Source organism: Homo sapiens, chromosome 3 (assembly GCF_000001405.40).
Source record: "Homo sapiens chromosome 3, GRCh38.p14 Primary Assembly".
NCBI lineage: Eukaryota > Metazoa > Chordata > Mammalia > Primates > Hominidae > Homo > Homo sapiens.
Genome location: NC_000003.12, coordinates 153,889,921 through 153,902,474, shown reverse-complemented (window position 1 = coordinate 153,902,474; position 12,554 = coordinate 153,889,921).

Below are 12,554 nucleotides of genomic sequence, written 5' to 3'. Positions count from 1 at the left end.
ACTCCGTCTCAAAAAACAAACAAACAAACAAAAAAATTCCTCACTGTACGTGGCACAGTGCCTTGCTCAAACAAGGTCATCAATAAATATTTGTTGAATAAAAAATTTAATGAATGAAAAATGTTGGTGACCAGTGAGGAATCAAGGACCACACAGGAGCCAGGGCAAATAAATAAAGCAGTGGGTTGAAAACCAGATAAAGAACTCAAAAGGCAGAGAACAGAGACACCTCTCCAAGAAAAGCAGACCATGGGACCATAAGACAAAGCTTAACATTAGATGATTCCGTTGAAATGGCTGAAATTGTAGGAATTCCAAAATCAGGATCAAGTTAGGTGACGCGTGTTGAGTCATAAAAAAAACTCTGCTTAAAAGAGGATGCTGGTTGGTTTAAATTATTTAAGTTATTTTGGGTAGTTTTGCTTTCCTAATCTAAAGTCAGGGAAGGAAAATTGTGTTTCCTTTGAGTGGGAAGGCAGCTGGGAAGTTATGAGGAAAAGAGAGATTTTTAGCAATAAAACCAATCTTGGGGAGTAGAATGACAGATTTAAAAGAGAAAACAGTAAGATTTTTTTTGTAAAACTTTTCAAGGATAAACAGGAATGTAATCTCTCAGAAAATGTGAGATCCCAAAGAGAGAGTATAGAGTAAAATGATTCAGTGGCATGGTATTAGATGAAAGCCTAAAGAATCAGAAGGGCTTGCTAATACAAGAAATAAAGCAAAAATAAAATTTCCATGAAGCTTTAGGATTTATACTTTGTTATCCTTCATCTGTATTTTTGGTTTGTATTCAACACTTTCTGGTTGACTGAATTTAATTTTCATCCTGATGTTCTGATTTTATGTAGGCACAGTTTAAAAATCTACTGAAAATAGTACCAAATATATCTTCAAAAACTTGACTGATTCTTCTAGGTTTTCTTTCGATTACGCAGTCACTTTGAACAAAAGGTATTAAAAGTTAGAAAATTTAGACTTCAAATGACTATAACCACATCATTCAATCTTATAGTCCTTAGATTCAAAGAGTCAAATAAGATTAAGATCTTTATTTGACATTAAGGCATACCAATTTTCAATACCTCAGTTCACACTAATACATCTTATGCATGAGCTCATCTCTTCTTTCATATTATATGCATTCTTTGCTGCTTGTAAAAGTTTCTCAACACAAGGCTCATTGTATTCTATCACTCTTATATTCTAGGATGCCAGCACCCAAATAGTAATGATCTCATAGTTGATGAATCAAGTCTTAGATGTAGTATGAAAAGGACAAATTATTGCTAGGAGAATCAGGAACATTAAATGCAATGGTATTTTCAATTTTGAATTATACATGCACATACAAAGAGAAACTCAATTTTGTGTAGTATCTGTGATAATATGTAGGAATGCCTTTAGTTTTGAAGGCAGACTTAATAGCCTGCATGTCATTTATGTATCAAAGTAAAAATTAAAAGCATTAAATATAAGCCAAATCACTGCAGTGATTATTAGAAAAAACTATTCTAAATTGCAAAGCACTATTCAAGAAACAAGAAAGCTTTGGTTATAGCTTGGCATTCAGGATAGTTGGGTAGAATATTGCATGAATCTGTTAAATGTCAGAGGAGAATGAGAATAGCTCCAGCAAATACTTTTCTTAGTCTGTAACATACATGTTTTTTTTTATATATAGTATTTTAAAATTTTCTGTTACCTAGCACCAAAGAATTCTTATTTATCTTTTTTGCTGGATAATAATCTTAGGATATATTTGTCTTTCTTTTGTCTCCTTTTTCTTTCTTTTCTTTTTTTCATTTTGAGGCAGAGGAGCTGAAATAAACATTAGCTTATAGTGCCACCATAAATAAATAACTTCCAGAATTATCTGAGACTTCTTGGAGAAATAGTTCTCAGAATATCTATTACTGTCATCCCTCCATATACACTGGGGATTGGTTCCAGAACCACTACAGTACACCCAAATTCATGCATACTCAAGTTCTGCAGTCAGCATCACCCAATCTGCCAATAGGGAAAGTCGGCCCTTTGTATATGCAGGTTTTGCATCCTGCAAATACTGTATTTCTGATTTGCGTTTGGTTGAAAAGTTAACCTATAAGTGGACTCTTACAATTCAAACTCATGTTGTACAAAGGTCAACTGTATATTTAAAGTCCCATGGAATCAGTGGGACTTAACTGTTCTTATATAACAATAAATGTTTTTCATTAGGGTGCAAAGATTATGTGAATTGGTCATTTTGGATAATTGTTCTAACCATGGATCAGTAGAAGAATTAAATGCACATGGGCAGTACATTGTCCAGGCCTGAAAACTTTCTGAAATGACTATCAACATTTTATGTGTGGTTTTTATATTATGCCAGGCCAAATTTATTTTATTTTAAGTCTTAATTTTATCTTTTGCGGAATTACATATGCACATAATTTGAGTCAAAGAGTTGTACAAAGTTTGTTAACAAAACAGCAGTGTCAACTCTTTTTCTTTCTCTTTTCCTCACTAGAGGCAACACTTTTACCTGCTTCAGTTGATTCTCTTGGTGTCATGTGTTTAAACATGGTTTTAATTGTTACTCTCTGATTTTTCATTTTTAGCCATTACCTATTGAATTTCTATTATGTATGACAAAGATGAAGCTCTCTTTTCTCTCCTAGCCTTCACCATCCTCCTCAAATACTGTGATTCTGCTTAGACGAATATTCAACACTTATATTACTATAACTGTACAATGCAATTCACAGAGAAGTCATGGAGTAAACTATTATTTCTCCTTTTCTATGCAGCTATTTGTTTTCAAAGGTGTCAATTATCATCCTTTATTTTCTTTTGCTTAATTTTCTAATGTGCTTATTGTGAATCATTCTGAAACCTTTTTGGCAAACTTTTCCTTAAAAATATTCTATAAATCATTGACGCTTTTAATCCTTACACCTTGCAGTCTCTTTTACAACTATGCAAATCTGCTATTGTAGATTGGGCCCATGGGCTGTATGTAGTTTGCAGTTCCTAGAGTAAATCATCCCTCAAGATGTTCAGTTGCTTCAGATATTCTATTAATTTTTTTTTCTCCAGAGAAGTTTCTCTTTGAGATCCCTATACTGCTTTCTGTACCTTTGCCATAGGCGCCATCCTGGGGTCTCCCTCGCAATGACCCTGGGATTTCCTTTGCCTCGTGTCTCTCGTGGGATCTCCTGTTTCCTGTATCTCATATTTTTCTTTTTCTTGGCTAATGCCCTTGTTTTGGTGAAAAACCTTTTCCAAAAGCTTTTAGAGAAGGGACACAGATGAAATAATGCAAATTCTTTATTAACGTGATTTTCCAATAATTCACTATGATGTGAGATGGTTTTATTTGCTTGCTTGCCTTTTTGTCACACTTTCCATTAGACTTACCAGAATTTGACCAAGAAAAACTAATGAATGCTAAATTAATTTTATGTAAAATTTTGTTTGTTTTTTTTTTTCTTTTAAATAAGATCAGGAAACAAAAAGAGTCAAATAGATGTCTGGGACTTGTAACTACAATACTCTACTGACTCATTTTAGTTTTGATGGCAAGGAATGTGAGGATGGTAATATATAAAAATGGGGGTGAAATTAAATTAACAGTAATTTGTTTTTTCCATAAACTTGTGATAGCTTCAGAATGACCTCCACTGCAATCCTCATTATAATGGTGGACTAATTGGTTCATAGTATGCTCCGGCTAGGAAGTTTCAGGGAATTAATATTGATGCCTTAGATATCAACATGTTTCCCTGAGAAGAAGGGTTTTGCTGCACATTTTAGGGTCTTTCTTAATAAAGAAGAAATTTTATAAAATTGAAATTTGTTTATAACACTTATAGTAATTGATTACAGTATTGAAAATATTTTAAAGCAATTGATTTTTGACAAAGAAATAAAATACTTAAAATATGTTAAACTAAATTAGATTTAAAAATAATTTTGTGGCAATTTGTTTAGAAAATCAAAGGGGAATGCATGGTATTCTTGTGCCAAGAAACCTGGTTTGAAATGGGTTTCTAAAGAAGAGAGTGCTTGTGTTCCCAGAGATCTCTTAAGAGGTATGTTCAGAATATTAATGAATTAGATGGGAACTATCCTTGAGCACACTGTTCTGTACTAACATACTTGGTGGCTCGTTTGAATAAAGAACCAAGTAGAAACATGGAGTTCCTGAGGCTGATGGGTGGCTTTAACTTTGACCTTTGTGGCCTTAGTAGGTTTCTTTTCCCTTAATGTGATTTTTTTGTCTTTTAATTTTAGGTTTAATATGAATGTGGATATGTCATGTAATTGTGGCTTTACTATGGTAACTGCTTGGCATAAACAGACCTCAAGGCAGTTGTACCTATAAGTTAGACTCATCTTTCATTAGAAATTTTGCATAATCTATTTTTAATTTATGCCCTTTCATATGGGTTGAAAGTAGGCTTAACATCCATCTCACTACTCAACCCTCTTCATGGTTAAGAAAGCTATGAAGCACATGAAAGCCCCTTTGTTCTGAGTGTGCCTTTAGCTTTTTGATTCTATCTTTGTAAAACTTCTCTGAAAAGACTATTTTTAATTCTACTCTTTCTTTCAGATGTAAGCAATATAATTCCTTGGCTTTATTTTAGAAAAGTATTGAATGCATCATACCCAGTAAACTAAGAGTCTACTTTTGTAAATAATAGCTTTAATTACTTTGGGGTGAAAAATCACTCTCATATTTGGCAAACTATAGGTAAAATTGGATCTCATTTTTCTGGAAGGTATAACTGACTTACGGAGGCTGCCTAAGAGTCATATAAAAATATTGATAATAAGAGTCACACATTTTAAGGATGTGGCTTAGAAAAACATAGCCTACTCCTAAGTGTGAAAATGAATGAAGACCATTGAAATGAGAATAAGCATAGGCTATTTATTTAAAGCTTGCTATAGCAAGGAAGTCAGCCACCATCATTTGCATTTGGCAGAAACTCAAAGGCAGGTAGTGAAGTGGAAAAGCTTTATAGTGGGAAAAAAAGCAAGGCTTCAGGTCTGCCCTTAATGGAGGCTGTTGGCAGGAGAAGCTGGAGGTCTACTAACTCATGGGGCATCCTATAAGATTGGTTAGGGGAGCAATATTTGGCTTTCTCCCATTGATCGCAAGTTGGAACCAGGGACAAAAGTTAAGAAGCTGTCAATTATTGATCAAGTCCTAACCATTTTTGGACCAAGTGCTACAGAGGTTGTGGTTTGGCTTCCTGGACTGGTTACAGCAGGTTATGGGCCAGAGTTCTATTTTAATATGTAATCTAGCAGTTGTGCATCTTATGTTCAGTCTCTTACAAGGAGCCAGAAATGTCTCTCATTCGATGACAAATTATAAATAATTCACAGGAACTAACTTAAAATTCAGGATAATTTTCCAATCATCATATTGTTCTAGGTATTTTTTTTCTTTTCATCAGTAAAGAAAAACATAATTGATGTGCTCCTTTTCCAGTTAAGGAGAATTCTTGACAACTATTACAAATAGTTATAGAGTCAAAATTAATTTTTGATTTAGTAATATTAAAAATCATTAAAATAATTTAATCACAAAAGGCTTTCCCTTGCTTCTGTGAAAGGATGAAGATCCTCTCATCTGTTTCAAGGTCTGTAAACACAGTGTGCTTTGAATTTCTTATAAGAAAACTTCTATTGCATAAAACCAAGCAAAGGCTATTCTCTATACACTTTTTTCATTTTGCTTTGGCCTGATATTACCAATGGACTTTTTGCAAACTACTAATATATTTACTCTTCAATGTCAAATGGTCCTCAAATGCTACACTCTTGTCACTGGATCTAAAAATCTGTTGTGTTAGATATAGGCAAATAAAAATACAATACAAAAAAAAGTGTGTATACAGGCAAATTATGCTAATGGAGTTCCACTTTTTTGACATAGAACACTCTGAAATGGCAGTTAATGGTAATTAATAAGTGATAAGCAAAACAATTAAAGTCAGTCTGCAACTAACCTCGCCAGACTGCTAATGTTGCTCTGACTCCCACCAATCAGTCAAGCTAATTAGGAGGATCAGACAGTCATTAATAGCTTTTGTCTCTGAGACAAGTGGCATATTATGAATACTGTAGAGTTAAAGGGGCTGCACTGAGGTGTGACTATCCCAAAGGCAGAAACCAACAGCAAAAGAGAAAGTGCTTCTCCAATTGTTTCCTCATAGGCTCCTATTTGCACCTTTTTCTAATAATGTATTATTCAAATTTTATATTCGTGGCTCAAGGGAAGTATTATATATAAATACTATAATTATTCAATTGTGTTTTTTAAAGTGAAAAATATGTTAAATGTGCGTTCTTTTTATTCTTTCATGAATATTTATTTAGGTGGCTTATAATTATAAACAATACCAGCATCTACCTTACCTCTGTAGCCTCTCATTTTCACAATGAAGAATGTGTATTAGTTTACTTGCGTTTTTCCCTATATAAATCATTGGCAATGAGAAATGATAAACTCATTCTGCCCAGTATTATGTGGGTGATCAATAATTAGTATTAGAAAACAACTTTACAGTGCATTGTTGAACATTATTGAGCTGATGATGTCTTAGATAAAATCATTTCCATTTTGAATGTGGCAAATTCATATTAAAGACACTACATATGTTCTTGGCATTAGCTCCCAACTCTGAACTTTTGCAGTAAATAGAGACAAGGTGTTAATTAAGAGAACTGCCAGTCCAAATGAATAATGGAGTGCTGGAAATAGCATGGGTGAACGCTTGACCTTCTGCATCAAAGAGGTGCTCCAATGATGAAGTCTCAATTTTGGAATTATGACTGCAGAATAATGAGAATGTGGAAGGGTAAGAAGGATAGTGGGATCTCCATTAACTCATTCAGCTACTCCTAATTAGTTTTTAAAAACTGTCAGGCAATGTTTAATGAAAGGCTTCTCAGGAATATGAAATGAATAAAGGTCACAGTACATACAATTTCTTCAACCCCAAAGGGTACCAACTAAATATTAAGTAATAATAGATATTTTGTAAGACCCTTCCTAAATAATTTGCATTAAGCAGCATTAAAAAAGCAGCCTCTCTCTGACACTCAGCTGGGCCAAGTTAACTCAGCTACCTTAGCCCAGGGGAGAGGACGGGGGTAGGGCAACAAGCAGGAGTTCAGGAGAGTGTCCATGATCAATCCAAAGACAGCCACCTTTGACTTATATGTGTCCTGTAGAGAGGGCTGTGTATCTCAGTAACCTAGTTCAGGGAAGTTAGAATCTGAAACCTTTGACCAGGTAACTCTGTTCCTCATTCTAACTTGACAACTAAGTTGGGAAGTCTTTCTTGACTATGAGATTACACCCGGTTGATAAAGTATCCAGTCACCATCTAGTCAGGATATTGAATTACACATTTCTAAGGTTTTAAATATCTTTGGACATCATTGTTTGTGAAGATTCTTCTGAAGCTACTAAAGACCTCAGGCCATGAGAGTAAAAAACAGTTCAGTGAGGCCAATGCTACTACTGACTTAGTTGCTTTAAGAAAGTAGCTTTGGCTTTGGACAATTTGCCTTCTTTTCTGGGAAAGCTCCAAGTTGAACAGAGAATAAGACAGTAAAATTTTACTGTAAAAATGAGTGACGTTTATCAAAGGCTACTATGAACATGCACTGTTGTAAGCCCTTGTTAAATCTTCATGACAACTTTTTGAAGTAAGAGCCATTATTCTACCCATTTTACAGATGAGGAACCTGAGGCATAAGAGATAAAGCAATTTCTCCAAGAATACTATTACGTCCAAGTCCCTAGTCTTAGACATTAACCTTGGCACTGAGGATGTCACAGTGATCTATTGTGGTCCCTTGTTTTCACCTGAACTCCAGACACTGTGATTTTGTTTTCTCCAAGGTATTTTACTCAGCTTAAGTTGTAACATATGTCCAGGCTTATAGAAATAGCTAGCTGTTTCCACCCAACTTCAATACACCTAGGTGGATACACTGAGCAGTCACACACTCAGACAGAAGTACATTTATTGTATGAGGAAGAAAGTAGTGCCTTTTACCCACATTGGGTCAAGGATAGGGATCTTCATAACTGGGAGTGTTCTTCCAAGTTGATTGTTGTCTTAGTCCATTTTATGCTGCTACAGCAGAATATTGGAGACTGAGTAATGTATAATGAACAGGCATTTATTGCTAACAGTTCTGGAGCCTGGGATGTCTAAGACTGAGGGGCTGGCATTTGGATAGGGCCTTCTTGCTTCATCATCCCATGACAGAAGGTAGATTAGTAATTTTAATCTATTTTCTTTATTTTTGTTTTAAAACACCTAACTACTTAATTGTCCATCTTCCCCAGGGGTGCCCTATGAACTTGAAGATCCACTTTCCTATAGCTTCTTATATCCATAATATATTTTATACCTGTAGTAGGGTTGCTAGATAAAGATAAAATACCAGTTAAATTTACTTTCAGAGAATTTCAGACTAGGTATCATATATTTTTGCATGCTGAATCTGGCAGCCATATTTTATAACTAATTCATTGGAAATGAGGGAAGGGGCGAGTTACTTCTTATCGGGCAAGCCATCTTGTTTATGTAGATTAATGTAATAACACTAGAAGATAAAATATTCCCATGGTTAGCATCACAGATGAATTCAAAGTTTTTTTCTAACTCATTTATTGAAAACTGTATATTCTAAACCTATTTCATTCAGAGTATAAATCTAAACATATTTAGTGTGATTCCTATGGTTTCTTTCCCCACAGTAAGATTACCACTAGAATAGCTTTTAGAAAGTTTCTCTTATCATTTGAAATTAAGATGCACCATTAAATATAAATTTTCTTACGTACCGAAACTTTTAAATTTAATTTTTTTAATAGAAATCTTTCTGTCTGGGTGTAGTGGCTCAACCTGTAGTCCTAGTACTTCTGGAGGCTGAGGCAGGAGGATTATTCAAACCCAGGAGTTCAAGACCAGCCTGGGTAACATAGTGAGACTGTGTCTCTACAATAAACACACAAATCAACAAAAAACCTAGCTAAGCGTGGTGGTCTGTGCCTGTAGTCCTACCTACTTGGGAGGCTGAGGCAGGAGGATTGCATGAGCCCAGAGCCTGGAGTTTGAGGCTGCAGTGAGCTATGGTTGCACCACTGCATTCCAGTCTGGGCAACAGAGTAAGACCCTGTCTTAAAAAAATAAAAACGAATCTTTCTGAAGTGTATTTCACACTAGATTACCCACTTAAAGGTGATATATTGAACATGACTTCCTCTGGAAAAATTAGTGTTATTATTATTAATATAAATTATTTCAACTTTTAATATGTAATATACCCCCAAAGTCTGCTGATGTGTCTAGAACTATTTTTCCTGTCTGTAAACAGTCTCACTATGCTATGCTCTTGTGATTTCTGCATGCTGCCATTTGCTGTCCTCTGTGAACACCTCTGGGAGATATATTTCATCACCAGCAGTGAGCCTCAACTCCTGAGTTGTAGCCTTAATTTGAAAACAGTTGTGTGGGTGAAGGACTGAGGGAAGCTCATTTATGGATTCAAGTGCATTGCTTTGTGCCAGCTATTTTTCTTGTAGCTACTTCAGAGGCCTGCTGGCACTTCCAGGACTGTACTTTGTTCTTTATACGTGAGCTTTTTTAGGTATTAAAGTGCTGCTCTGTGTTTGTCAGTATTACTTCCCAAGATGTGTCCTACAGGACAAAAGTTCTATAAAATGTTAATAGGTGCATCAAAAAAAAAAAACTTTCCATGATTGAAATGTTTGGGAGACAGTGTACTAAAAAATGTTATGCTTGTAAAAAGTTAAAGTCTTCTTTACAGGGATTTTCATATGCTAACATGGAATGTAAATCCTCGGGTGTTTAAAATGGTATATAGCACATTTGGATCTTATCTGTGCATGTAATCACTTTGGTGGAAGATCTCACCGGACGTTGTGGAATTTTGTTATGACTTACAGTTGCCATGTTAACATGGAAGTTTTACACAGAAATAAAATGGTATATAGCACATTTGGATCTTATCTGTGCATGTAATCACTTTGGTGGAAGATCTCACCGGACGTTGTGGAATTTTGTTATGACTTACAGTTGCCACGTTAACATGGGAGTTTTACACAGAGAAGGAAAAGAAATGTGGTGAAATGATTTATAATAGGGTTAAAATTAATATCCTTCATACATTCAAATCCTTACTCCTTGGAGATAGTTCTTTGAAAATAATAAATAGCAAGTGTACAAGTCTTCAGGACATTAATCAAGGGACAATTTTCTCCTCTAGAAATAAGAGGTTAAGTTTCTGAATGCTAATGCATTAAAAAGGAGTGACATGTCAAGGTTTACAACCCACAAAATATAATAACAGAACTCCTTCCTGCTCTCTGGACAAATTCAATGAGAAGATAAAACAAAAGTGAAATAGAATTAAATGCCCCAAATAGAAACTTCAGGAAACAGGCCAAATATTAAAATTGTTTCTTTTTCCTTTTGAAACTGCCACTTTTTCTCTCCTTCTGCTCTTAAAAATATTTAGTTTAGATGAATATTATTGCTTGTAATCAACAGTCTTGATATTATTTTGACATTTTTGGTAGTCTTTACTACTAAGTATTGAAGGAAAGGACTTTTGCGTTTGTTGAAATGAATGCATTAATATTTAGCTTAAACGTGTATGCCATTTGCCTTTGCCTAAAGACTCACACACATTAAAAATACATATTTTTTATTACTTTCTTATGAAACATCTAATTGTGTATAACAATGCTCTCCATTATCTGTTGTCTAATGGCCTTGCGTCATGATATTTATATATTTCTATAACTTAGCATCACTGATAAATTGTAACTTGGATATTTAACCTAATCTGTGTTATATTTAATTTAATCTGTGTTTAGACACTTGTTACAAAGGCAAATCCATAATTGCCTGCCACTATTTTGGTGCCTACTGGACTCTATATGTTAGATTAATTTGTGTGGACAGGCTAATTTTAATAATAATAGCTAACACATATGTCAGCTATACTTCTCAAATGTTTTATGTACATTATTTAATTTTCACAGCAATGTGAGATGTATACTTTCATGATTTTCATTTTACAGATGAGAAAACTAAGGCATATTTGTCCAAAGTCACACAGTAAGTCGCAGACTATGGACATGAACCCAAGCAGTCTGATTCCAGAGGCTGCTCTTAATAACCATTAAGAATGGAAAGATGAGAATGAGATTGTAATCCTGCACTTCTACAACCTTCTGGAGGTTTTCCTAAAGCAACAAAATCACTGAACTGCGTATTATCTTCTTCACCAAAATAAGTAGATGAGGTCTGGCATCTCAATAAATATTAGTGAAGTGCTGACTTTCTCTGTAGCCAATGTCTTTATTTTATGGAGTAACAACAAAGAGTATCCTAAATCCTACGTGGGGTATGGGCTCTGTCTCACTGTTCTTTAATATCCCACAATGCCAAGTGCTTAGTAATTATTCAACAATTACCTGCTGAATGGTCTTCACTTTATTGATGAAATTGAGGCTCAGAGAGTTGAAGATCTTGATCAAGGTACATAGTAAGTGGCAAAAATTCCACCCATGGTTGCAGGTCCACTTCATTTTTCACTCTACTACACAGACACTCAGCATTCACTTAGTGAGTTAATGATTTATGGAAATTTTAAATCACTGGAATTAATGAAAACCATATTTATTATTTCTCAGGCCCATTGTGATCATACTAGAATATACACAAATATCCTTATTATAGTGGCTGAAAGATCTGATCTTGCTAGCCGTTCCTAAACAAATGGCTCTCCAGGTGTATTAGTGGTGTATTAGAGCCATATTCCCAGTAGGAACTTTGTCTCTTCCTCATAGAACACCCCTATGTTAATGCAAGTTGGACAAATCCTCTCCATAGCATCCCAAGCAGAGTCTTAAGTTGTGGTAAATGAATGCTTCTCCTATTTACCTTTGAAAAAGCTAATGAATTATGAGAAACTGTTCAGTGTTCGTAGGCCCACACACTCTAACCTCTTCCCTGACAATGTATTTATCCAAGTCACTTTGAAAAGTACTTGTTTCCAAACAAGAACCATTTATATGGGAATGTACTGTTAAAAATTAAACTGAGGTGCATTAAAAATTTTTTAAGCATTTATTTGAGCAAACTAGTATTTATGAATTGGGCAGTTGAAAACCGTAGTTTGTGGTTGTGGCTCTACCTAAAGGCCTCGAAGAAAAAGCTTTTATAAAGTAAAAGTGGAAGCAATGCAAAAAAAAATGATTTGTTATAGCTATGTAGTTGCCTTAATTGGACTATATAGGTAAAAAGTTCTATTTATGTAATTAGAGGTAAATTGGTGGTTTCTGATGATTAAGTTTAGATTTTGTTTTCCTCTAAGTCAATCATTTACAAGAAATGCATTTGAGTCTGGTTTTGGTTTGCTTGGGTAGGAACCCAGGGCATTAAAACCACTTCAGTCTAATAGCCTTCTATTTATTTTAAGACTTTCTACATGTCTTG